Genomic DNA, 26,499 nt, shown 5'->3' on the forward strand with positions numbered 1-26,499 from the left:
TTTCTTTCTTTCTTTCTCTTTCTTTCTTTCTTTCTTTCTTTCTTTCTCTTTCTTTCTTTATTTCTCTTTCTTTCTTTTCTTTTTTTTTTTTTAGAGACAAGGTCTCCCTATGTTGCCCAGACTGGCCTCAAACTCCTGTGCTCAAGTGATCCTTCCACCTTGGCTTCCCAAAGTGCTGGGATTACAGGTGTGAGCCACCACACCTGGACTTGCTTTTTTTTTTTTTTTTTTTTTTATTGATTCAATCTCTTTACTTGTTATAGGTCTATTCAGATTTTCTATTTCTTCTTGAGCCAGTTTTAGTAGCTTGTGTATTTCTAAGAATTTGTCCATTTCATCTGGGTTATCTAATTTTTTGGCATAGAATTCTTGCCAACTTTTTGTCTGCTTGTTCTTCCTGTTACTAAGAGAGCAGTGTTAAAATCTCCAGCCAAGATTGTGAATATGTCTTCTTTTGGTTTTGTCAATTTTTGTCTTGTATATTTTGAAGCTATGTTACTAGATGTATACAGATTTAGGATGATTATATCTTCTGGCAGATTGACCCTTTTATCACTATGAACATGTCCGTCTTTATGTCTAGTAATGCTTCTTGCCTTCGAATCTATTTTGTCAGACATTAGTGTAGCTATACTGGAGTTCTTTTGTTAGTGTTTATGTGGTATATCTTTTTCTGACTTTTTCTTTCAAAGATTTCTGTTCTTTTATATTTAAGGCATATATCTTGTATCATATACTTAAAAATAAAATTTGGTAATAATGTTAATTTGAACATTTAATGAATTATGATATATTTGAGTTTAAGTATATCAAGTGACTGTTTTCTCTTTGACTCCTCTGTTCTGTTTCTTTTTTTTTCTTCTTTTGCCTACTTTTGGATTAAGTATGTTTTAGAATTCAATTTCCCTGCTCTGTTAGCTTGTTTGTTGTGCATTCTTTCGGAATTCCTTCTATGGTTGGCAATTTGCATTCTTGACTTATAAAGTACTTGTACCACTTCCTGGGCAATGAAATACCTTGAAACACTTTAGTTCCATTTACTGCTCTCTTAACTTACATACTCCTGTTATCATGCTTTTAACTATTATATCTCTCTATATTTTATTCCCTGGGAAACTTTATTGTTGCTCTACATAGTCGATTTCCATTTAGAGTTACCAATTCTTTTTGTTATTTCATTCATTTCTGCTTCTCCACATTTCCATCTGGGATACTTTTTCTTCTTTTAGTATTTTCTTTCTTAATTTCAACTTTTATGTTGAAGTGTGACTGGGGTGTTTCCCAGGACCCTTGTCCTTGGTGGACCCTGAACTCCAATCTCTTTTCTCCAATCCTAAGAGGCCACTTAGCCGCTCAGCCCCTGGCCACTGCTGGGAAGGAGCAGGTGCTTCGGGGAGGAATGCTGCTCTTTCTGGGGTCACCTCTCCACACTCCCCTGCAGGATCCTCACCCTTGAAGCCTTCACTGCTTTTGTAAAGCCTCCAATGCTGCTGGGAAGGTTCACCCACAAGAAGATAGTCTGATATTGCTCAGATTAGAAATCTTGCCGTGTTATTTTTTGATTTTGTGCTCCTGACCGATGGCTGGGGAATGTTCAGTTTGTGTGGAACTCAAAGACAGTCTTACCAACATTGCCCTCATAATCCTGTATTGCAAATGTACACACACAGCTATATACTTATATATCTATACACACATATATATGTAAATCTACACAGAAAAATACAAAACACACTTGTATCAAGGCATACATAGGATCTTTTCTCCTGAACTAGTTGGAAAAGGCATAGAAAGTTCTTGCTTGTCAGCTACTTATAAAGCCTTGCATCATTGTTTTCTGAATGATTTCTGTGGTGTGTGAATGTCCCACATGATGCTAATAGAGTGTCTTTGCTAAAATAGTGCCAATGTCAGTAAACTTGGGAAATGACATGGAATCCTCTCCTTGGAGACACCAGCACAAATCAGCATGGTAAAGACTCTGAAACATGTAAATAAAGTTGTTCTATTATGAAATCTTTTTTTGAGAGAATACCTATTTCCATCTCCTGGAATACCAGAGTTCTGTAGGTAAACCTTGGAAAACACTGCTTTAGAGCAAACCCCAATCCACAAAATCCTTCAGTGATAAGTATCTGGTATTCAAGAGTCTTCATCCTCACAAAGATGAAGTGCTGTTCAATGTTTTCTCAAACGTGGGGACTCCAAGGAGAGTCTGGAAGTATGAATATTAGGTGTTGGGTTTGCAGGGTTTGAGCCCCTCTGCTACTCATTGGTTAAAACAAGAAGGCAGAACTTGGGGATTTAGTCATTTCCAGCTCTTTGCCTGTTTCTACCTCTGAGTGTGAAACCATCTGCTTGGGTTCTCTTTGTCCCAGCTCAGCTCAGCTTAGCATGGGGCACTTGTGTGTCCATGGCAATTGATTTTTGACTCCCATAAACTTTCCCTCACTTCACCTATGTCTTGGAAGGCTTGCTGCCCCTCTGTGCAGGTGAGAGGGCGAGACAGTTGTGGCAGAATATGCAGAGCTTCTGCTCAGAAGCCAAGAGGCCTGGGTTCAAGTCCTGGTGTTGAGTGACTTTGGGAGAGTTAACCGTGGAGTAGCGGTGAGAGCACGGGATTTGGTTTCAGACACACTTGGCCTTTTCACTTCCTTGCCTTGTGATCGTGGGCATGTCACTTCACCTTCCTGTATCTCAGTTTCCTTACCTGTCAAATGGGGATAATAAAAACAGGCACCTCACCTCCTCCTTGGGGTGAGAAAGAAATAAGATAATGCATGTCAAGCACAAGACCTGGAACATAGTAGGCACCTGGCAAATGTCAGCTCTTACAACTCTTCATCCAGCCCAACTCCTTCACCTGGGCTGCAGAAGAAGCCCAACCTCTCAAGATGCTTGAGAATCAAGTACAGTTCTGACTGTGAGAAAGAGTTTTGTAAACTCTTGGAGACAAAAGAAAATTCACGCAATTTAATTTTCATTATTGCCCTTAATGCTGCCTCATCCCTCTGGCTGGGCAGGGCAGGGTGTGTGGGGAACACACCAGCCTCCTTCCCTACTCTTAGGCAGAACCATTTCTCCATTACAGAACATTGGCAAAAAGATGTCCTGTCAGCAATTCATTGCCAACTTGGACCAGCTGAATGATGGCCAAGACTTTGCCAAAGACCTGCTGAAGGTACTGTCTGCTGAGTGTCCCCATCCCACTAGCTGTGCCCTGAATGGATAGAGAGGAGAGAGGTCTGTGCCTCGTGAAATCCTGGCATTCCAGGCCGTTAACACAGGGTGCAGGGCCATGATGACAAAGTTAGAAACCACTGAGCTCAACATTTGGCTGTTCTGTGTTCCCTGAGTTAGGCAGAGGGTAAGGCTTTGTGAGATTTGTTTTTAGTACTCCATTACCACCATTACTGTCACAGTAATAATCAACACTGCTATGAACTGTCACAGCTGCCACCCACCACAACCGCCACCACCACCTTCACCACAAACATCATTATCATCACCACAAGGAAAAGCCCCCCTCATTCCTTCAACATTACCAGGAATTAAGAGAATCCAGTTTTCTTTTGAGGCTGAAGTGAAGGGTGGAACTCTAGCCTTTCTAGTCTGGTCATTTCTCCACTGAGGAAAAGGAGCAGGTTTTTGGTGGCTCGGTGATGGGCTCATTTTTATTATTTTTATATTTTTGAGACAAGGTCTCATTCTGTCACCCACCCTGGAGTGCAGTGATGCAATCATGGCTCACTGCAGCCTGGAACTTTTGGCCTCAAAGGATCCTCCTGCCTCAGCCTCCCAAGTAGCTGGGACTATAGGTGCATGCCACTGTGCCTGGCGATTTTTATTTTTATGCTTTTTTTTTTTTTTATAGAGCTGGGGATCTCACTATGTTGCCCAGGCTGGTCACAAACTCCTGGGCTCAAGCAATCCTCACACCTCAGCCTCCCAAAATGCTGAAATTACAGGCGTAAGCCACCACACCCAGCCAGCTTCATTTTTAAATAGTGGGTTTGAAGAATCTGATGATACTACAGGCGTAGTTGAATAATGAGTTCGGAGGTCTCCATCCAAACCCCAATGTTCCATAGAACATTGTCTCCATCACTCTTCTTACTATATTATATTCTTCACCATTGAGAAGCGTTTGTTAAGAACATATTTGTGAGATCAAACAATCCCAGTCCCACTATCCACCTATCCATTTCTCCCAAACTACCCATTCACCTATCTAACCACTTCTGCACCCATCCACTCATCCTCCCATGCATCCACCCAGCCACTCAATCATTCACCTACCCATATACCCACCCATTCACCCATCACCCATATATATATATATCTCCCCAAACCCTCCCTTCCCACTCCTCGCATAGCAACCACTCACCCATTCACCCGTCACCCACACAGACACCCTGTACTCCTCAAACACTCCCCATCTACTCACCTCAACAAACTTCTCCACATCTACTCACCCATCCCCCATCACCCATTTCCCCACCCATTCACTTACCCGCCAACCCACCCACCCATTCATCCTCAAATCTATCAACCCAATCATTTACTCAATCATCCACCCAACACCCTGCCATTCATTTGCCCACCCATATCCTCATGCATACACCCCTAAATCTTCCTCATATACCCTCTGTCTACCCACCCATCTTCTATTCATTCACCCATCCACCTGCTTGTTTCCCCACCCATCCTTCCATCTTCCACCTGTCCACTTCCCCATCCATCCATTCACTCACCCATCCTCCCATTCATCCTCCCATCCATTCATTTACCCTGTCGAGCACTTGCTGTATGTCAAGTTCTGGATTATGCACTGGAAATTCAGTAGTGAACAAATGGACAGCCTCTGACCTTGTGAAGCTTACAGTCTCCTACGGGAGATTGACATTAAGTGATCACATAATTAAATACCACCCATCCGTACATCCACCCACCCACTCACTTACCCATCCAGCAAATAAGTATGAATCAAACACCCACTTTGCCCCATTGGCTGAAAAGGTGCTCCCTCACTGTACCCATGTTATTGGTGGTAGATGAGGGTTTCTTTGACCCTTCACCTGAATTCCCCCCTCTCTCTTTTCCCTCTCCCAGACCCTTTACAACTCCATCAAGAATGAAAAGCTGGAATGGGCCATGTGAGTAGTGACGATGGGCACAGGTATGGGGAGCATACATCCCTGGGTGGGGGAGTGTGGGGGTGCAGGTCCGACATTCTGACCACTCTCCATGGTGCTGATCCCTCCCAATCCAGGGCCTGATACCTGTGTCTAGCTGGCGCACACCTGGTGTTGAATTCCCCTTTGGATTCATTTTCTGTATTGAGAAAAAGAGTGCAATGTTTGCATTGTTACAGAATAGATTGAACTGTGACTTTAGTTCTATGATGTCCACAGCTGGTTTTCTATATGGGGATAGTGTTCCAATTCCCATTGATGACCGCTCCTTTCCCTTTGGGAAGTAGGCAGACAGGAGGCATGAGGCCTCTATAACCTGGAGAATATGACCACGTTTAGGTGGTGACTGTTATTGACAGTGGGAAGGGGAGAGTGCCCTCTAACTTCTTCCCCTGCAAAGGCAGTGAGACCTGTAGGTCTCATCAGGAAAGAGGGGTGTTGACCTTGCTGTTTGGGGAGACCGTGAAAGGCTCTGCTGTGTTCCCCAGGGCAGGCAGGTCCATGTAGAGGCCTCAGGCAGGGATTAGCAGGAACTCCAACCCCACAGGGAAGAGCTGGCACTCTTCTTCCAGGGCTCTCATGGGGGCCCAGGCTTCAGGGCCTTACCTGCTGGCCTCCCGCTGCCAGCATGTCGGTGGGGTTTGTGCAGCAGCTTCAGTCTGGCCACGGTTAGTGCTCCCTGGGATGGAGAGAGGAGAAGGAAGACTAGGAAGGAGACCTGGTGACAGTTAAGTCTCCACGTTTGTGATCAAGGGTGACAATTTGGGCTTGGAGGACAAAAATCAAAGATCAGAGGTCAGAGGTCAGAGGTCAGAAGTGGAGATGAGAGGAGGGGTCAGAGATCTGGATCTGTGGTCTGGAATTGGAATCTCTTCATCTCTGCCTCCTGGGGCTGCTCTTCCTCCATGACCCTGGCTCCTGGAGAGGAGGCTGGTGGGGAAAGGCCATGACGATGCGGGGCCGAGGCCTCCCTGGAGGTGGTGCTCAGGCCTAGTACTTCCCTAGTGATGAGGATGAGCTGAGGAAATCCCTGTCTGAGCTGGTGGATGACAAGTTCGGGACAGGCACGAAGAAGGTGACGCGAATCCTGGATGGTGGCAACCCCTTCCTGGATGTCCCACAGGCGCTCAGTGCCACCACCTACAAGCACGGCGTCCTGACCCGGAAGACTCACGCTGACATGGATGGCAAGAGGAGTGGGTGTCAGGCTGGGAGAGGGGCATGGGAGGGAGGCTGGCACAGAGGGGGGCGCCACGGGCCACTCTTTGGGGACGAACATACAGGTGGACACGTAGTGGGAGGTGGGGTTGGAGAGACTGCAGAGGGTGGCTGCAGCCACACTACCAGTGCCCTCCTCCCCAGCGCCCCGTGGGAGGCGTGGCTGGAAGAAATTCTACGCAGTGCTCAAAGGGACCATCCTGTACCTGCAGAAGGTGAGAGACTGCCCCAGAGACCTTACTCAGAAAGGGCCAGCTCAGTCCCATCCCGCCCTGGCCTTGTGGCACCCCGAAGCCCCAGGCAGGACCTGGGGCTCAGGCACATGCTGGGTCCTTCCCCAGACTTGGGCCCTCTCAGGGCTTTGGAGGTTTTTGGGAGAACTTGGTGCCCAGTGGCTCAGTGGACTCTCAGCATGAGGCCTGTTCAGGCCTCTGGGACAAACTGGGGTAAGGGGAGGAGTACCTGGATTCTTGTTGGGGTGGGTGAGGCAGCAGGAACAGAAAATTAAGGGAGCCGTAGGGTTAGACAGAGAGCAGTGAGGGGAGGGGAGAGTGGAAGGTGTGGGTCAGTGACCCTAGCTCGCCCATCCTGCCCCACCCAGGATGAGTACAGGCCTGACAAAGCTCTATCGGAGGGTGACCTGAAGAACGCCATTCGCGTGCATCACGCTCTGGCCACCAGGGCCTCTGACTACAGCAAGAAGTCCAACGTGCTGAAGCTTAAGACAGCCGACTGGAGGGTATTCCTCTTCCAGGCACCGTGAGTAGGAGCTGGAGCCCTTCACTCCCACCTGGGGCCCAGGGCCACAGTGACCCGGCACACAACCCCTCTCCTTCCCGTGAGTCAGCAACAGAGCATGTGTATCCACATGACACAGACCGACAGCTGGGTCCCTCCAAAGCAGTGGTTCCCAATGTGTGGTTCCCCTCAGCATCATTTGCAGTCTCTCTGGCCCCACCTTAGACCTACTGAACCCAAAACTCTGGGATGGCTCCAGCAACTGTGTTTAACAAGCCCTGCAGGGGCTGCTGAGTGCGCTGGAGTCTGCAATGTGGGGCAGGTGGCATCTTTACGAATCATCCTTCACTTTAAGTGTGGGAAAGATGCACCCTCCAGGTAACCTGTAAGGCTGTCCTACCACCTCTCGTCCTCCTGTGACTTGAGATTGGGGTGCACATGTCACATGAGCTTGCAAGGAGGCAGGCTAGTGGGTGAGGCCTCAGGATCACAGTGCCAGTGCTGGGCAGGCAGCGGGGGAGGGCAGGAGGGCTGTGGGGGTCACCCAGTTGCTATTGCCTCTGATGATCCCCAGTCCACAGTCACTCCCACCTATTCACTCCAGGGCCACTAGCTGTGGACCTGGGAAGTTTGATCTTCACATGAGAATTCGGGTGTGCCTGGAAGCTGGGACAGAAAGGGAGCTCCGTGCATAGCTCTGGCCAGGCCCATCCAGCCCCCATGTGTCCTCCCTCTCCCCTTTATCCACCCATCTAGAGGTACTGGTGCCTTCTCAGTGCCAGGCCCAGTGCTGGGTACGGGATGCTGAGTAGGGGACAGGGAGTCCTGTGTGAGAGGCCGGCACCCTCTCCCCCTCCTGTCCCCAGGAGCAAGGAAGAAATGCTGTCCTGGATCCTCAGGATCAACCTGGTGGCAGCCATCTTCTCTGCCCCGGCCTTCCCAGCCGCTGTCAGCTCCATGAAGAAGTTCTGTCGGCCCCTGCTGCCCTCCTGCACCACCCGCCTCTGCCAGGTACATGTTCCTGGGTCAACATTTTGCCTCCCCAGGCTGCCATCCTCAGCCCAGGCCCCCATCCAGCAGCCCCACCCCAGCTCTGTCTCTAGGCTGGGTGATCCTGGGCTGAAGGACACCAGAGAAGGACACCTGTTCCCTCCATCCCAAGCACCCCACCCCCACATCAACAGGGAGACCGAGGCATGGCACACAGGGGCCACAGCTGTGGCAGGTGGCATGGAGCTGCCTCTATGCCAGTGCATCCCTGTGGATGTGACCGAGAGTTGGTGGCCTTGTGTGCACCTGGGCACAAATGCAAGAGACCGTGTGTCACAGGGAGCTTGCACAGGTGACACCTGGCTGACGCTTCATCCAGTGCTCTTTTGCTGCTCTCACCTATTCTTAAATGTTTTATTTGTAATCCTAGAAAACCCAACACACCCATGCTGCAGGTTCTCAGGGCTTCTTTGGAGAGGACAGGAGAAATGGTGGCCCGGAGCTTGAGAGGTAGAGGGCAGCGGAAGCCCCACACTTCCTCTTTGCCAGCGGCCTTTCCCACTAGGCCTTGTCCCGGGTCACCCCACTGAGCTCCTGGGCTCCTGCTTCTGCCCAGAACCTTTGTGCAATGCACGTACACCATGTATGTGCACAAACCATACACATTCACATGTGTAAACACACAGGTGGTGACTCATACACACATGCATGCATGTGCACACAGCACCAGGGGGCCTGGCTGGCCTGTAGTGGGTGGGATGTGTGCGTTTGCCCATCAGCGACAGTGTCTCCGCCTGTCTTTGGGTGTGATCCTGGGTCTGCAACCATTACGTGTATCTGCGCATGAATGTAAGAGAACGCGTGTATCATATGGAGCAGGGGATAGCGGGGCCAGGCTGGCCTTGGTCCGGGGTGTTTGTGTGTGCACATGGGAGTGCATATGAGCTGGGTTTTGTGTGGGGGTCATTGTGTGTCTGTGTCAGGGACTGTCTATGTGCACATATAAGTGTGAGCATCTCTTGTCTCCCAAGCCTGCGGTGGGGTGGCTGGGGGGCATCGAGGAAAGCTGATGCTGATGGGACCTGGGGGAGGAGGAAGGGAGGTGGGAGGAAGAGCATGCCCTCAGGTCCAGAGTCTGGCTCTGTCCCCACATTTTGGTGATGCTGGCTAGGCCTTCATTTCCCTTTGGTGGAGCAGCTCCTGGTAGAACAGGATTTGAGCCACTCCGTGACATCCTGAGAGTAAGGCCTCACAGTCCAGGATTTGTCTTTGCAGGAGGAGCAACTGCGGTCTCATGAGAATAAGTTGAGGCAGCTGACTGCGGAGCTGGCCGAACACAGGTGTCACCCAGTCGAGAGGGGCATCAAGTCCAAGGAGGCCGAGGAGTACCGGTTGAAGGAGCACTATCTCACCTTCGAGGTGAGCCTTGGGGGACTGGATTGCAAAGCCCAGTGCCCTGCTCTTTCTCCTTCCTGCCTGGCCTGATGTGGGACTGGGGAGGTGAAGCCTAGTGATAAAGGGGCTCATTGATGTGGGAGCTGGGAGGGAACAGGGTCCCCTGACCTTTAGTCCCCAGTCCTTCCAGAGTGCCAGCCTTCCCTGACAGCAGTGAGGGGCAGAAGCTCAGATGAAGGCCCTCAGATGCTGCCAAACCTTCCTCTTAAATGTTTGTGCCAATTTCTAACCCCTTTAATAATTTGTGAATGTACTTATTTCTCCATGCCCTCACCAGCACTGGGCATTGCAAAACGTTTTAATCTTCACTAACCTGATAGGTTTAACAATTAGTATCTCATTACTATTTTTTTTTTTTTTTTGAGATGGAATCTCACTCTGTCGCCCAGGCTGGAGTACAGTGGCACGATCTTGGCTCACTATAATCTCTGCCTCCTGGGTTCAAGCAATTCTCCTGCCTCAGCCTCCCGAACAACTGGGATTACAGGCACATGCCACCATGCCTGGCTAATTTTTGTATTTTTAGTAGATATGGGGGTTTCACCATGTTGGCCAGGATGGTCTCGAACTCCTGACTTCAGGTGATCCACCTGCCTCGGCCTCCCAAAGTGCTGGGATTACAGGTGTGAGCCACCACGCCCGGCCTCATTACTATTTTAATTTGGATTTTAAAACATTTTAATTGCAGTAAGACATGTAATATAAAATTTACCATCTTCACCATTTTTAAGTGTATAGTTCAGTAGTGTTAAGTCTATTCACATTGTTGTGTAACCAATCTCCACAATTCTTTCCTCTTCCCAAACTGAAACTCTGTACACATTAAATAATAACTTCCCATTCTCCCCTCCCTCCAGCCCCTGACAATCACCATTCTACTCTCTGCCTCTATGATTTTGACTACTCTAAGTGGAATCCTACAGAATTCATCTTTTTGTGATTGAATTATTTTACTTAGCATAATGTCCTTAAGGTTCATCCATGTTGTAGCGTGTGTCAGAATTTCCTTTCTTTTTAACCCATTTATGTCAGAGTTTGCAAATTTTTTTTTGGTGAAAAATCAGACCTTGGAGATGACCTTGAGCAGTATGATATAAATAACTCCCATGAACTTAATGTCCCAATAATGGAACACTAGGCATAAATGGGATAAGGCTGAATAATATTCCATTGTATGTACACACCACATTTTGTTTATCCGTTTATCCATCAATGAACACTTGGCTTACTTCCATCTTTTGGCTATTATGAAAAATGCTGTTATGAAAATGGGTATACAAATATCCCTTCAAGACCCTGCTTTCAACTCTTTTGGGTTTATAGTTAGAAATGGTCTTGCTGGATCATGTGGTAATTTTATTTTTAACTTTTCGATAAACCACCAGCTTTCCATAACAGCTGCTCCATTTACATTCCCACCAGCAGGGCACAAGGGTTCTGTCTATTTCTCCATATCCTCACCAACATGTATTTTCTGCTCTTTCGATAGTAGTAAGAGTGTGAATTGATATCTCATTGTGACTTGCATTTCTCTAATGACTAATGATGTTGAGCATCTTTTCATGTGCTTGTTGGCCGTTTGTATGCTTTCTTTGGAGAAATGTAAATTCAAGTCGTTTGCCCATTTAAAAATTTTGGGTTGTCTTCTGTTGTTGCATTCTGAGAGTTCTTTATATATTCTGGATACAAGACCCTTATCAGATATATGACTTGCAAATATTTTTCTCCCATTCTGTAGGTTGCCTTTTCATTCTGTTGATTGTATCCTGTGATGTACAGAAGTTTTCAATTTTGATATAGTCCCATTTGTGTATTTTTACTTTTGTTGCCTGGGTTTTTGGTGTCATATACAAGAAATCATTGCCAATTATTTGGATTTTTCAAATTATGAATGAAGTTTATGTGCATGTCCCTTGTTTATTTTTTAATTGGACTGTTCATCTTCTTTTTAATGATTTGTGAAAGCTCTCTGCATATTAAGGAAATTAGTCTTTTGTCATATAAGGTGCACATACTTTTTTCCTATTTTGTTGTCTTTTGACCTTGTGTTTGGCCTTTCCCCAGAAAAGCCGTTATGAGACCTATATCCACCTCCTGGCTATGAAAATCAAAGTGGGCTCAGATGATCTGGAGCGGATTGAGGCCCGGCTGGCCACTCTGGAAGGGGATGACCCTTCTCTCCGGAAGACACATTCAAGCCCTGCCCTCAGCCAGGGCCATGTGACTGGCAGCAAAACCACAAAGGATGCCACTGGGCCTGATACTTAGCTGACATGGATTTGCAGACCCCAGGGTGGGCAGATGTCTCCAGTGGGGTCAGTGAGCACAATTCCAGCCAGGGGCCACTTGGACCAAGCTCCAGTCAGTTGATGGGCAGCTAGAGGGGTGCAGAAAGCCTGTGGGCCCAGGAGATGGAGATGCCGTTTGTGGCGTTGATCTCCTTGCGTCCTTGGGCATCTCCGGGCATCAGACCCTCTCCCTGGCCCTTGTTTTCCTCTCCACCATGGAGCCTCATTTTGTAGGCCAGTTGTGTGCATGCTCTAGACACCACCTCGCTGGAGAAGCTGGAAGGGCTGTTGTCTTCCCAGGTCTTTCTCTTCTCATCAAGCTCCTCTCCTCATCTTTTTTGTGTGTGAGGGCAGGTCTTGACTCTAGGTCTCAGCTGGAACCCCACCCTTTCTCCTCCTCCTTCCTCTGAGTTGACCAGCAGCAGGTCTGCCGACCACCAGCACCATCCTCTCCTCCCAGCAGCCTCCAGAACCATGCCCAGGTCTCCTGCCTCACATCACAATAATCTGGGACCCAGGCTTGTGCCCTTTCAGTGTAAAGCTGACTCCATCACATGTGCATCCACTTCTTTTCATCCATTGAGATCACACTGCCTCCTTTTTATACAGACACAAATATACATCTATAAGAATAATATATACATAAGGAACCCCTGAAAGATGGTTTTGGAACTGGAATCAGTTAGAGGATGAAATCAGATAAAGGAAAAGCCTATTTTGGAGCTTCCCCTGTTAGGAAGGATGGCTGCACCTGGCCCCCTGGCATTCCTGACGCTCTAGGAGGGAAGGGGGAGGCAGTGCTGGCCTCCCTTGCCCTGTTTTTCCCTCTTCCAGCTGACCTGTGACTTATACTGCTCTTACCGATGATACTTTTGGAAAAAATAGAGCGTGTATGCACCGCCCCGTTTGTCCCATGGATATCCTGGGGTGTGAGTCGGATGGGACCACGGCCCTGTTTATATTTGGGTCTTTATGTTGGTGCTGCCAGGTCTCTGAGCTCCAGAGGTGGCCTCTTGGACAGATCTACTGCTATAGGAATAAAAGACACTCTGTCTCGCAAATGGCTGCTTGTCAACAAGCCCAAAGATGCTTGTCGGAGGACGGTTATGGAAGCCCTTAATTCTTGGTTGTGGGAAAAGGTGGAATGACAAGTTATTGATTGTTTTTCTGTCGCTATTTCTTTCATTTGTCTAGTGAATCAGAAAGGCTTAGCCAAGGCCACATCTGGGAAGAGTGGAGAAATTTGCCACTTGACGATCACGGATTAGCTAGCACCTTTAAGCCCTGCATTTCTCCAACTGACAAGTGGGTGGGGGTGATGGCACATTCAGTGTGGCTATGAAGAGCGAATCCTCTCTATTGTTTAAATAGATTACTGTAGTTTGGCCAGGAATTTGGCGTCAGTGGTAACACACTTAGTTAATAAAATAAGCCAGGCTTGCAACTAAGTATCTAACTTTACAGGCCCACTCACATTTGAGGCAAGGGGCTATTGAGTATGTGGAGAGATGTAGTGATTTAAATTCAGATTATTTAAGTTGGATCAGCTGAAGTGTGTTTTAGACCCAAACCATCTGGCCCCTTCGTTTTGCTCAGAGGAAGTAAATGTTCACTTAAATGAAATTGAAAACGCCATGTGGCACCACAAAAGAGCTCTCTGTACTTTCCCCATGCTGCCTCAAAAGTTCTGTGAGTTTCGGGGTCAGTGTCCCACCCTTCACTTCCCGAGGGCGGGTGAGTGGAGAGCAGAGCCAGGAGCTCTGGCAGCTGTGGACAGATGTGCTTCCTGAGCATGGGTTGTGCCTCCCATCAGTAAAAAAATGTTTAGTTCACTTCCTTAATTGTATAATTATTTATTTGTAAATTATATACATGTACTACTGTACTAAAATATTATGTACATTATAAAACATACACAAAAATAGAAATTTAAAAAAGATGAGATGAAAATAAATCTAAGTCAAAGTTCTAATAGTTCTTCCTGCATTCGAATGGATCCTCACCACCCACAACTGCTGCCTCCAACATGCCCATTTTCTAGGACTGTTCAAATTCAGGACTGGTGACATGCAATAAGTGGTTTGCGCCACCTGGTGGTCCTGGGAAGTGGCCTCGGGCTCAGGGACTTCTGGGGGTTGCCCCTTGAGGACGGTGTCTCTTGCGCCTTCATCCTCTCATTCAATGAGGGCCAACTGTGTGCTGCACGCTGGGCGGGGTGATGGGGATACGGTGGTGGGAGGAAGTTTGGCTGCCTGTCCTCGTGGGGCTCACAGTTTCGTGAGGAGAAGAACAGGCAGTTACCATTACCACTTGGGCCTCTGGGAGGGGCTGGAAAGAGAAGCCAAAAAATGACCTGGAAGAGAAAAGAAAGAACTGGGAAAGTGGGGATGAAGCCTCTGACTTGCGAAGCTGCCTGAATGTCGTCCTACGTGTTCCAGCGACGGGGCGGTGGTAGGGAAGTAGCTTGACAGGACTGCGACTCTTCCTGAAAGGCCACTGGGAAGGCTTCCCCAGGCAGAGGTTTGAGAGGCAGAGTGGAGAAGGGGCCTCTCTGGCCACATGTGTTCCCGGGTCCTAATCATACCTGTGAAATGAATGGGTGGATGACAGGTGAGGAAAGAACTCTGTTAGGTTCTGGCCTTGGACTCTCCGCACATATGGCAGGTACTGTAGGATTCAAAGCATATAATGAAGGTACCCGATGCTCATGCAAAGATCGGTGAGTTCACCAAGAGGTCATTCAGAATCAACCGAGGGCCACATAGAGATTGGTGGGTTCATTGGGTGGCTTCTGACTCTAAAATTTAGAAAGCAACAGCAACCTAGAGCCCCCAGAAAGGTCACACGAGGACAATAAGCTGGACCACACAAAGGTCAATGGGTTCCCCAAGAGTTCATATGGAGTTAATTTGGGATCCTACAGAAGCCACAAGTCACAGAGAAGAATAACTGGCTCTCAGAGAATTTTAAAGTCAACTACGAAACCAGAGACAGCAGAGGGGCCTGGATGAGATCAACAGAAGGGGGCCGGGAGGGGCCAGTGAGTTGCAGGTTTATGCAGGATTGAGTTCATTATTTTCCTTTTTAAAATTTTTTGTAGCAGATACTTTTTCCCAGCACCCCCACAATAAATACAATAACTTTAATTTGTTCTTTATTTTTTTCCATCGACTCCCTCTCATCTAGTTTTTGTCACTCTGGCTGTGTGATACAAGGATGCAAGGCACAGGATATTGTCATCACCACCATCAAATCAGCCATGTAATAGGCATCTATCACGTGCCAGCATCAGCACTGGGTACTTTATAATCTCCACAGCAACCTTTTGGAATAGGTATTTACATCACCCATTTCCCAGCAAGGAAACTGTGGCCTAGAGACGTCACACAGCTAGGCGGCACAGAGCTGGAATTTGAACTTACGCCCTGTTGATGCCAAAGCCCTCTCAACCCGCAGCCTCTCTGTCCCTCCCACCTATAGGTCTCTGACTACACACATCCTAGTGGGATTCACACACACACACACACACACACACACACGTGTAGCCGAGTGTGCATGCCAACCACCTCAGCTGTTTGGGTGGAAGACGTCCGTGTGTCTGGCTGGAACCGAATAGTTCCGGGTGCTGGGCACTGGTTTACTAAATTAGTTGATGAGGGGAAAGGCTTTTGAACCTGGGCCTCCATCTGCCTTCTCCATACTGAAATCATGTACTCTCTCTCAGGTCTGCGGGTTTAGACAGGTCCTGGCTCTGAGGGGGTATAAAGTTGGGGAAAGAGCAACACCCTGTGGGCTTATGAACTGCAGCAGCTGTGGTCCTGGCAGCTGAGGGTACCACTGTTATGCCACTTTGCATGTTCAGACTTTGCCTGTGACGTGCCTCAGGGTCCAAGGGTCATCCTGCCTTGGCTGTGCTATTACCAACCCCACAACCCATCCCTCCTCAACCACCTAGGCCGGCAACTGTTGCCTCAGTCCGGCCCATAGATCCAGGGCAGGAACTGGGCCAGAGTTCCAACGCTGAGTTTGAAGCAGAGCAATTTGTGTCAGTCCCTTGGCCAGGTTCCCCAGCAGCCAGTGGGGACACCTTGTAAATATTCTTGGAAGCGGGAGGAGGGCTGGAGTCTGTCCTGTGAGCTGGGGCCGGAGAGACCGGAGACAGGGTCACTTCCTTCCAGGGACTGCCCTGGCCCCCTCCAACCTCCAGGCCAGCATCATCCACATCCACCATGGGACTTCGTGCTCTGAGTTCCCTCCTCATCTGAGGCTAGGCACACACAGTCAAACAGGAGTTATTTCTGATTTTATTTATAATATAAAAATGTTCAAGTGTCAACAGTCAGGTGTTCAGACATTTCAGGACAGGATTCCCATCTGTTTCTGTTTGGGATTTTTTTTTTTTTTAAACAATTACCTTTTTGACAAATTAGCAGTGGACCCAGTTTTTGGGGGTGGGAGGGCAGGACTGGAGACGAGTGGATGTCATAGGTGGGTTGGGGGCTAGGAGGCAGCCTGTGAGAAGGAAATGGTGTTACTTTATTGCTAAAAGGGGAATACACTGTCGAGTGGCTCTTCTCGGTCCCAGCGTGACCATGCATCCAATCTAAAGAATCTGAAATGCAAAGGACATGCAGGTGTAAAATAGAAAAGACGACCTGTAAACGAAGGTGCTGCAGAGGACGGAGGGGCGTCCTGGAGGCTGTGGGGGACAGGAGCCGCCAACATTGGGCCCCTGGCAGAGCTGCCACCTCCCTGGGCTCAGGCTCTTGGGGAAACGTTTCTCTGCCCCCCCTCCTTTAACAGCTGTGAGTAGCCAGGGCTTCCCCATTCGGGTAGCTGTGTCTTTATCTCCCCCTGGAAGTTACCCCAGCTCCAGCTCCAAGCCTAGGGTCCTGGCCCTCTCCTCCCAGGGGTCGGGAACTTCAGCTCTTGCCTGGGAGCAAAGCTACTTCCGTCCTCAGTTCTTCCTTAGGGCCAACCCCCCACCGCCCCCCACCCTCGCCCCCAACAGAACCCGCACCTCTTCTCTCCCAGCTGTCACTCTCAGCACCCCACAACCCAGACCTGTCCCCCGGAGCCCCAGATGAGCATACAGCAAAAGGCACCACAAAATAGGTTTCTATTAAAGAGTCAAAAAATTGGCCCATCTCTCTTTTTTTTTTGTTGTTTCTTTTTTTTTTCCGAAGCTGTAAATCAGGATGTTACATATAAATAGTTTCCCTATAAAAACGCCTTTGCCGTTAGCTAGTATTATAAGACAATTTTTGCTAAAATGAAAATAAAACATTTTGTTATACTTTTTTCCTTTTATAGAAAATAAAAATATTTTTATTTCTTTTTTCCTCCTTTCTCTCCAGTAGGCGGTCTCTGGTCTCCTTAAAGATAGTGGGGCGGGCGGGGCGGAGGGGCGCGCGGCGGGGCCCTAGAGTGGCGCCGAGTCCTGCTTGGCCCGCGGGGGCGGCCCGCGGCTGTGTCTGCTGCTGGCCCGCGTGCTGTGGCTGTCCAGTGAGTAGTAAGTCCTGCTGTCGGCCGCCGGGCACAGTGGCGGCGAGTCCGAGCGCAGCGCGTCGTGCGCCCCACGCAGGCCCAGGAAAGGTGTGCTCTCGGCCGCCAGCGCCCCGTCCGCGTCGTCCGCGTCGTCGTCCGACGCCGAGGCTGAGCCGCCGCCCGAGCCGCTGCTCAGCGACAGCGAGTCCCTCGCCGCCCGTGCGCGCTGCGCCGCCAGCCCGTTGAGGCGCGAGCGGCGCCAGCGCCGGGGCCCCGCCGACGTCCTGCGGGACGCACCGCGCGCGCGCGGCCGCGGCGGCGGCGGGGGCGCGCACTCCTGCGTGGTCTCGTACTCGTCGTCCTCGGGGATGCGGAAGGGGCTGGCAGGCAGGCTGCCCAGGCTGCCGCCGAGCGCGCAGGTCCCGCGCCGCGGTCCGGGCCCCGCCGCGGGGTAATAGTAGCTGTCATAGCTGCGCTGCATGTCTGCGCCGGGCCCGGGCCCGGGCCCGGGTCCGGGTCCCGGGCCGGGGGGCGCCGGGTGCCGCAGTAACGGCTGCTGCTCGGCCAGGCGGTAACTGATGGGCGCCGCCGGCGGCAGCGACACGGCGTGCGCCGAGTTGGGGGACGTGATCTCGAAAGTTGGCACCTGCGTGGCCAGCGAGTAGTGGAAGTCCACGGGCGAGAGGCGCGCGGGCGTGGTCAGGGCCGACACGTACCTGCGGGGAGAGGCAGAGGCATGGGCCAGGGCCAGGCCGGGCCGGCGCGGGGGAGGGGGGGTTGGGGGTGGGGTAGGGTGGGAGGGGCGGACCCAGACTTGCCTTAACCTTGCCCGAGACCCCGCCTGCAAGAATGACGGCAGCAACCCTCAGTGGCCTTATGCAATTTCCTAAACCTCTCCGAGCCTCGGTTTCCTTATCTGTTACGCGGGCATAACCATGGTGTTGATTCCATAGCTCTGTTGGGATGATTCCAGATTGTATCAGTGGGATGTGTTAGCCCTGTGCCTGACCCTGGTAAGCTTTCATGAATGGTCACTTGCTGTGGGAATGCTCACCGTCAGGGGGTCAGGCTCACGCTGGGGTACATGTTCCATCTGGTTTAATACCGCAGCTCTGTAAGACCCTTCCGCCAGTCCCATTCTACACGCAGGAAAGTAACACTCAGAACGTTTAATTCTACACGCAGGAAAGTAACACTCAGAACGTTTAAGTGACTTATTCAGGATTTACACAGCCAAGAAGTGGCAGAGCTGGGATGTGACTTGAGGCTAGTCAGGAACCAGGACTCATACTGCCCAATTCCAGAAGCCATTAGTCTCCATTCAGATACCCCTGTGACCTGGCCTCACTGCCCCACAGGGACAATTCCTCCCATGCCCTGATGGCTTCAGTGAGGGAAATATTCCTCCTTACAGTGAAGTCAAAACCTGCTTCAGGGGAGTACCAAGATCCCATGAGGTGTCTCTGCTTGTGGCTACAGACCCATCCCCACACCACCAGCTCCTTCAGAAGTCTGGCCTTGCTAATATCTCCCAGGCTGGATCCCGGGTACCTGTCCCCTTTTGTGCTCCACATCCCCCTTGTAAGCCCATCAGTCTTCTGCCCCACCGTTGTCACCTCAGGACAGGGGCCACCCACCTCCACGCTTCCCTTCCAAACTGCACAGCTGGGCATCTCACTGCTCTCTGGAACCAGCCTGGAGTCCCCATTATCATTTTTTCTGAATCGCCTGACTCCTCCCTCTTCCCTTTCCCACCGGCACATCTGATTAACCACCAAGTCCTACCCATTCCCTTCTCCGGAAGCACACTCTCCACCCCATCCTGGGCCCGACTGTTCACATGTGGTCATCTGGGTCCACCCCAGGGTCTCTCCTCCTTCACTCTATGCAGTTCCCAGAGCAATCTTGTAAAGTCACAGCTCTGCTGAAGCCGGTCTTCCTGTTTACCCACCCAGGGTCAGTCTGTCTGGCCTCAGCTTGCCTGTTCAGGCCCAGCTCCTCTGCTCCCTACAGCCCACTCTGTTCCAGGCACCTCACTCATCAGCCCTGTTCTTAAGTGCCTCTGTTGGAACAGCTCAAGTTGTTCCCCGTGCCTAGAATGCTTTTCTTCCTGCTCTCCTGCCTCTCCCCTTCCTACCACCCATTAAGGAGTCTCATTGCTGTGGTTACGATTCATAAATAGCTACACCTAGTGAGCATCAGCTCCATGCCAGGGATGAGACAAAGAGCTCTGTGCACATGATCTCAGGTGGCCTTCACTTGAACCATGCATAGTAGCTTTTGTTCTCCCTGTTCTACAGCTGAGGGAACAAGGTACAGAGGTGATCAGTCTGCCCCAAATCACACAGGTGGTGGAGCTGGGCTTAGAAAATCTGGCTACTTCCCAGAGCCTACAGTCAGACTGGGTCTCTCTGCCCTGGTGTGGTGTCATGTTTAGCACCTTCCATAGGCTGCTGTAAGCTTCCTTGGTTTGTTTCTGTGGCTAGGAGCTCCTCAGGAGCAGGAACCTGGCAGGCCACTTCTGGATTCCCAGCCAGGCCTGCCCAGCACAGGGCCTGGCATGGAGTAGGCTGAGTTGAGAGCAAGGGAATATCTGCTCCTCTCCCTGCTCCCTGGTGTGGAGTTTTTAGTACCACTCATCTTTCCCTGCTCACCTCCTACAGACCCCACTTGCTGAGGGCCACTCAGGGCTGAGCAAGGTGGCAGGGGTGCTGGCCCTTGACTTCTGGCTTGGAGTCAGGGAAGAAAGGGCGTTTCCTGGTTCTTACTACATCCACTGCTTAGGAAGCCAACAAGGCCTTGAACCCTGGGGTCTTGTTGCTGCTACTGCCAAGGCCTGCCATCATTCTTGGCTCACGTCCATCTTGTGCTGGTCAGTGTCCTCAAAGGCAACCTCCCCTCCCACTCTGCAGTTTACTCCTTCTTCGTGTCTCCTTCTGTTCCTGCTGGGACATGGAACTTCTAGCATGTATCCTGGTTTGTCCAGAACAGCCCCTGTTTGTTCTTTTTTTTTTTTTCTTTTTGTAAAGGGAGTCTTGCTCTGTTGCTGAGGTTGGAGTGCAGTGGCGCCATCTCAGCTCACTGCAACCTCCGCCTCCCAGGTGAAGGGATGCTCTTGCCTCAGCCTCCCAAGTAGCTGTGATTACAGGCATGTGCCACCATGCCTGGCTAATTTTTGTATTTTTAGTAAAGATGGGGGTTTCACCATGTTGGCCAGACTAGTCTCAAACTCCTGACCTCAGGTGATCCATCCGCCTTGGCCTCCCAAGTGCTGGGATTACAGGTGTGAGCCACCGCGCCCGGCTGCCTGTTTGTTCTTGATGTTCCAGTGTAACTATTAATAATGTCCTTTTTCTAGTGTGAAAAGTGTCCTGGGAGGACAATTAAATTAGATGGTCACTGTCCACCAGGGTCCACTGGCCCAACTCTAGTCCCAGTCTGTCATTAACATGCCGATGGCTCTGAGCAGGCCATTTCACCTTTTCTAGGACCTTGTTTTCCCATATGAAAAATGGAGATGAGGCTCTTTGGAGTGTTTCTGAGGGGCCCTAAGGGTCAGCCTTGGGCCAGTGGTGCCAGCCCTCTGGCTAAGCGGGGAATAGGTCAGGGGGTAGGAACTGACCTCTCGCTGTGTGGGGAGTCGCGAAGGGAGTCCACGGAATCGTGATAGGGTGGCGCGGTGGCCCTGCGCCGCTCCTCCAGGTTGTAGGCTGCTGCCCGCCTTGCCCGGGCCTCCACACATGCTGGGCTGTTGCATTTGCTGGTACCCACTGATGATAGCATGATCCCCGACTGGGAGTCAGAAGTCAGGCTCTCAGAACGTTCCAGGCTCCACGTGTGGCTCTCGTGTCTGGGAAGGCCAGATGGGGTGAGACGAGGGGTCAGGAAGGGGCAGGGCGGCCCAGCAGGTGTGGTCCCATGGACCTCCCTGGCTCTTCTTCCACCTCGAGCTCCCTTAGCTCAATGCCCTTCTCCACTCTGGGGTGATGTGTATTGTTGCAAATGCCCAACCCCAATATTGGAAGAAGGAGGGCTGGGGTCCCATAGATGGGTGAGCTGTAATGTGCAGAGACCCATTTCTTTCCTTCCTGCAACCAGCCTCCCCCCAGCCTTACCTTAGACCCCCTGTCTGGGACCTTTCCACCACCGTGGTCCTTAGCTACCTATCTCAGAAGCCCAGCCCCAGGGGCCAGTATGTGAGGGCCCTGACTATTTCCTGGTGCTCCCGAGGGAAGAAGGGAGCCAGCCATGTTATTTTTGAGTTGTCTGAGCCTTTGTGCTGTGTGGACTGGCCTCTGCAGTTCTGGAGAGGAGGCTAAGGTGTGCTGTGATTCCTGTGGCAAGCTCAGGGGAGGGTATTGAATAGCTCTGGATGTCGGAGTAAGTGGGCACTTTGCGCCAGATGAAGTATGTGAGTCTACAAGTTTCCATGGGCCTTGGTGGTGCCTACCTGTGGCTGGAGGTGGGTGTGGCTGTGGAGCAGTGGTGAGAAGGAGAACAGGAGTGGCTCCCAGAGAAGGTGGTCTCAGTTTCTCTCCTGATGACATGGTCTGTGGCTGGCACGTTCTTGGAAATATACTGGAACAGACAGAGTTGGGCGAGAGTTAGTGACTGGGGCCCAAATGAACTCTTTCTTGTTGGGGACAGGGAAGTGATGAGCACTGACTGAGCTCCTGGTTGGGGAGACCCACTGTGTGAGAGTGACTTGATGTTGGGGCAGCGATGGCTCCAGCAAATCAACCCCCACCCCTTCCTCATGGAAGTGAGCAAACCAAGGCCAGCCATCCTGGTGAGGCAGTGCCTAGCAGGCAAGGCTGGCCATGGGATAGGCTGGCTGCTGCCCTGGCCCATCCTTGCAGGGGGCATGAGAAGGCTGGCTGTCCACTGAGGGCTCAGAAGGGGGCCCCAGGAAAGCCACTCACATCTGCCATCTGGATCTCCTCTGGGTCCAGCCGGGGGTGGCTGGGCCCATTGGCCAAGCTCCGGTTCTGATGGGCCGGGCACATGTTCTGCCGGAGGTGGTTGTGCATCTGCTTCCGCTGTTTTCTGCACAAGGGAAGGGAAGGTGAGGCTGGCATTCCCCCCACTCGCCAACGATGAACTTCCCTAGCTATCTCTCTAGGGAAACAGCTTTTCCTCCTGCCCAGGGTGGCCATGGCTACTGCTCGTCCCTGTACTCAAGCTGCCCTACAGCATCACTACCACCTGAATCCAATAGGACCTGAGCGTCGTGGCAGTGAGCTCTGGCTCTGCCCAGAGAGTAGAACTTCACTGCTTTCTAGCTATGCAACCCCGGGCAAGTTACTTAAGCTCTTCACGTTTCACTTTCCTCATCTATAAGACAGGGTGATCATTTATCCATTCCAAAGACTATTGAGGATTAAAAGTATATGAAACATTCAAGCACAGTGCTGACTCCCTCTCTCTCTCCCTCATTCATTAATTTGGTATGTATTGAGTTATCACTATGTGCCAGACACTGTTTTGGAGCAGAGACAATAGATAGGTAGATAGGGAATCCACCCTCCTGAAGCCTGCAGGCCAGTAGAGGAAGCAGATGGTAAACACATAAACAAAGCAATGAACTAGATACTTTCAATAAAGTTCCATGAAGAAAATAAAACAGGTGCTGTGGCTAGGGAGTCAGGGCCTGTGGGACTACTTCAGATTGGCACATATTAAATGCTCGATTTATTTGATATTAAATCTAATCATGTCCCTCCCCTGTTTAAGACCCTTCATTGTGAACTCACGGAGATAGAGAGTAGAAGGATGGTTACCAGAGGCTGGGAAAGGAAGTGGGGGGTTGGGAGGGAGGTGGGGATGGTTCATGGGTACAAAAACTAGTTAGAAGGAAAAAGACCTAGTATTCAATAGCATATGGGGTGACTATAGTCAATAATAATTTAATTATACATTTAAAAGAGTATAACTGGATTGCTTGTAACACAAAGGTCCACGAGGACCCATCAGTTTGCTCAAGGTCACAAAGGATAAATGCCTGGGGGGATGAATAGAATACATGATATGATTATTATGCATTGCATGTCTGTATCAAAATATCTCATGTACCCCATAAATATATACACCTACTAAGTACCCGCAAAAATGAAAATAAAACCCCTTTATTGGGCCTTAGTGTCCTGTTTCTCTCCCAGCCCTGTCTCTCTCTGCCCACCCAGCACCCCAGCTAGCTGCCTCCATGGTGAGCTTGTTTCTGATCCCCCACTATGCCCAGCCCTCTCTGGCCTCCCGGCCTTTGCGCATGCCAGGCCATTCACCTGGAATACTTTCTCTCCTCTTCACCTGCTAACTCTTGTTCACCTCTCAGGCCCTGGCCTAAATGCTGCTTCCTCAGGGAAACCCTTCCTGCTCCTCAGCCAAGGTTAGGTGACTCTAAAAGGTGTCCCGTGACACTGGACCACTTGTTCAGAGCACCGGCCGTATGCCTGAGGCAGGACCTGGTGTCCAGCAGGCACTGAATGTTTGTTGAAGAAATGAGTAAATGCAGTGGGGGCAGGACAGGCGGCTTGCTTTTTCTCCAATTCTTGGACTTAGTTTTCCCTCTTGGGCCCAGTCTCCTCTGGGCTCACTGGGCCCCAACTCCCTCCTGACTCTCCTCCAGACTTTCTGGTCCTGGATTCATTCAAGACAAGGCCAGCAGGACTTCAGATGCCACAGATGGGGCAGCATGAGTCCAGACCAGGGGCTCAGTCCCCAGAATGGTGGCTCTGTCCAGTCCAGACCCTTGCTTTCCAGATAAGAACAGTTGTTACAAACCCGTCATCTTTCAGCACATCAGAAGGTCATAGGGCCTTGGATGCCGAGCTAGGGAGCCTGGGTTTATCCAACAAAGGCACATCTATAGCCTTCACTGGATAAACCCAAACTTGCTAGCTCGGCATCCAAGGCCCTATGGTACCATCTGGGTCCCAGCTATTCTTTTAGACTCATGCCCGCTTTTTTCCTGTCCCTGGCCCTTTGCTCCAGCTAGTCTGGGCTGCCCATGCTCCGGGAGTACAGTTGACCCTCATCTGTGCTGTCTTTTAGCTTAGACTGCCCGGCTCCCTCTCTGTTCACTTATTCTCCTTGCCCCAAGGTTCTGCCCCTACCTCTTCTCTGTCCAGAGGGGGACCAGCCCTGCCTTCTCTGTCCTTTTGTCTCAATTGCTCCCAAGGCGGGGTCAGGCAGTGCTTTGAGGCATCTGTCTTTCTTTGGGAATGAAGCTGTCCTCTCTGTGTTCCTCCCCAACACTACCTAGTACCTGCCCACTTGACGGGGCACCTGCTCCAGGAGCCTGTGGGGTCAGCTGCACGCTACTGCTCAGGTCCTCACAGTGTCCTTTGAGGTACATACCAGGATCATTCCCATGAGGAACCATCAATTTGCTCAAGGTTACATGGGAAATAGCAGAGCTGGATTTGAACCCAGATTCGTCTTCTTCCAAAGCCTGTGCTCACAACCATTCTTCGTCAGTGCCCTGGGGCCTGTCTCCCTGACCCTCTGCCTCTACTTCTTGGTCCAGATCTTTGGCTCGACACCCACCCAGCTACAGAGGCCCCCGAGGGGTAGTTGGGGCCTAGGAGGGTATAGAGGGCTCCAGTGGGGTGGGGGAGGAAAGTCTTCTTCACACACATTCTTGGAGGCCCATCCCTTGGCTTGGCCTGTCCCCAGCTTGAGTGACTGACACTCACTTGGTCTTGCAGTAGGCCACCACACAGACGATGCCCACGACCAGCAGAGCCACGCAGATGCCCGTGATGGTCAGGACCCTCTTCTGGTACAGCTCCTCGGCTTCTGCAGAGGTAGGGTAGATGTGAGGGGTGGGGCAGGAGGCAAACCCCATAGGGATAGTGGTGCAGAGACCCCTTTGCCCCCAAAGCCATAGGCTCTCCCCAGCTCAGGTCCTGCCCAGCTCCTTTCCATCCCTTTTCTCCAGCCAGTTCCTTCCCTCCTACATGCTCTGTTTTGCCTTCCACTTCCCTGCAGCTCCCACCCACCCATGGATCTGGTCACACACAACTCCTCCTGAGTTCCCCTCCCCAAGCCCCATGCCTGCCCAGAGCACATGAGTGGAAAATGCAGGGGAATGGGAAGGGATGGAGTGGAGGCAAAGCTCCCGAGGCTGTAGAGCAGGGGAGGACAGCTCAGTCTGGCCGGTGACCCTGCCCTGCTCCACAGTGGCCTGGTAGCTGCAAAGAACCTTGGTGGGCCAAGAGGAGTTGTTCTTCCTGGCAGTGATCATGGGAATGCCTTTGTTTACCCCTGCAGCCTGGTCAGGGAGTGGCCCTGGCCCCCTCCAGGCCTGCTATCTCTGCTTGTGAGAAGCCCGCCAGTGGCACCATGGACCCCTGGCATCTAGGAAAGTGCTGGTGTGCAAGGAACAGCCCCCACCGTTGCTGAGGAGCTGAGCTAGGCTGGGCCTCAAAGCCCTCCCAAAGGCCGACTGTCCTCTTTACCCTCTGCTGCTGCTGCTGGGGCAACCCCCATCCTTCTAAAACAGAGAAAGCCAGGAGGAAGAAAAAGTAAAAGGTGACAGCGCTAGCTGTAGTCAAGGCTACAGCCCGGAGACCCCACCCGTGCCCACCACACCTGCTGGCTGGCCCCTCCTCCCAGCTCAGGGTAAAGTGGAGGCTGGACCTCAATGCCTTGGCAGAGCCCTGGGAAATGTCCCTAACCTCTTGGGCTTGCAGCATATCCTGTGGCAAAGGTGTACACACCAGGAAACACCCAGGGCTACAAACCCTCCAGACACACAGAGATTTCTAACTATGCCTATCTGATTCACAGGCAGACCCCTTCATTCACGCACACACACCTGCACACACAACATATGCACACACACAGAGTTAACCACACACTCCAGCAACAGGTGCACACACACGCCCATGCCCACTGACACACAGTTGGATGGAGTTGTAAACAACCAGACCTCCACCCTAGGTCCCCATCTCTTGGCTCTGTGCCCACAGCCCTGGCTCCAGCTCTCACGCCCCCTTCACATGCCTCATCCAGTTCAGCCAGGCATGTGTCTCCATCACTCCTCTGAGACTACCCTGGTTACAGGCACCAACAACCTCCAGGCCGCCAAGTCCTGAGGTCACTTGCTTCCTTCCCAGCTGCTCTCC

General features: G+C 51.0%; 2 protein-coding genes across 13 annotated transcripts in view, besides 3 other annotated features; one reads left to right on the top strand and one right to left on the bottom strand.

Moving 5' to 3' along the window:
- The window catches only part of PSD2 (pleckstrin and Sec7 domain containing 2), a 101,992-nt gene extending 88,136 nt beyond the window's left edge, over window positions 1-13,856 (top strand). For all 4 annotated transcript variants that reach the window (XM_047417829.1, XM_017009976.2, XM_017009977.2 and 1 more), the window contains 8 exons: window positions 3,092-3,181; window positions 5,113-5,156; window positions 6,201-6,391; window positions 6,558-6,628; window positions 7,015-7,172; window positions 8,018-8,162; window positions 9,417-9,560; window positions 11,661-13,856. In XM_047417829.1, coding sequence (XP_047273785.1) covers window positions 3,092-3,181; window positions 5,113-5,156; window positions 6,201-6,391; window positions 6,558-6,628; window positions 7,015-7,172; window positions 8,018-8,162; window positions 9,417-9,560; window positions 11,661-11,864 — 1,047 coding nt within the window. In that variant the 3' untranslated portion in view covers window positions 11,865-13,856. The remainder of the gene's footprint in view (window positions 1-3,091; window positions 3,182-5,112; window positions 5,157-6,200; window positions 6,392-6,557; window positions 6,629-7,014; window positions 7,173-8,017; window positions 8,163-9,416; window positions 9,561-11,660) is intronic.
- Window positions 13,857-16,170: 2,314 nt separating this feature from the next.
- NRG2 (neuregulin 2) overlaps window positions 16,171-26,499 on the bottom strand; it is a 196,519-nt gene continuing 186,190 nt past the window's right edge. For 8 of the 9 annotated variants that reach the window (NM_001184935.2, NM_013981.4, NM_013983.3 and 5 more), the window contains 5 exons: window positions 25,066-25,168; window positions 22,294-22,417; window positions 21,822-21,949; window positions 20,994-21,221; window positions 16,171-18,087 (listed from right to left, as the gene is read on the bottom strand). In NM_001184935.2, the coding sequence (NP_001171864.1) occupies window positions 17,307-18,087; window positions 20,994-21,221; window positions 21,822-21,949; window positions 22,294-22,417; window positions 25,066-25,168 (1,364 nt within the window). In that variant the 3' untranslated portion in view covers window positions 16,171-17,306. Of the gene's footprint in view, window positions 18,088-20,993; window positions 21,222-21,821; window positions 21,950-22,293; window positions 22,418-25,065; window positions 25,169-26,499 lie in introns of those variants that run through there. The other variant, XM_006714810.4, reaches the window with a different exon arrangement.
- Window positions 17,319-17,508: a silencer, noted in NCBI's record as "silent region_16433". NCBI's record gives its function as "represses an Ori minimal core promoter by ATAC-STARR-seq in GM12878 lymphoblastoid cells {active_cell/tissue: GM12878}" and the evidence as "EXISTENCE:reporter gene assay evidence [ECO:0000049][PMID:35858748]".
- Window positions 17,639-18,058: a silencer, noted in NCBI's record as "silent region_16434". NCBI's record gives its function as "represses an Ori minimal core promoter by ATAC-STARR-seq in GM12878 lymphoblastoid cells {active_cell/tissue: GM12878}" and the evidence as "EXISTENCE:reporter gene assay evidence [ECO:0000049][PMID:35858748]".
- Window positions 18,109-18,168: a silencer, noted in NCBI's record as "silent region_16435". NCBI's record gives its function as "represses an Ori minimal core promoter by ATAC-STARR-seq in GM12878 lymphoblastoid cells {active_cell/tissue: GM12878}" and the evidence as "EXISTENCE:reporter gene assay evidence [ECO:0000049][PMID:35858748]".

The sequence above is a fragment of the Homo sapiens genome, chromosome 5 (genome assembly GCF_000001405.40).
Source record: "Homo sapiens chromosome 5, GRCh38.p14 Primary Assembly".
NCBI classification, from domain to species: Eukaryota; Metazoa; Chordata; class Mammalia; order Primates; family Hominidae; genus Homo; species Homo sapiens.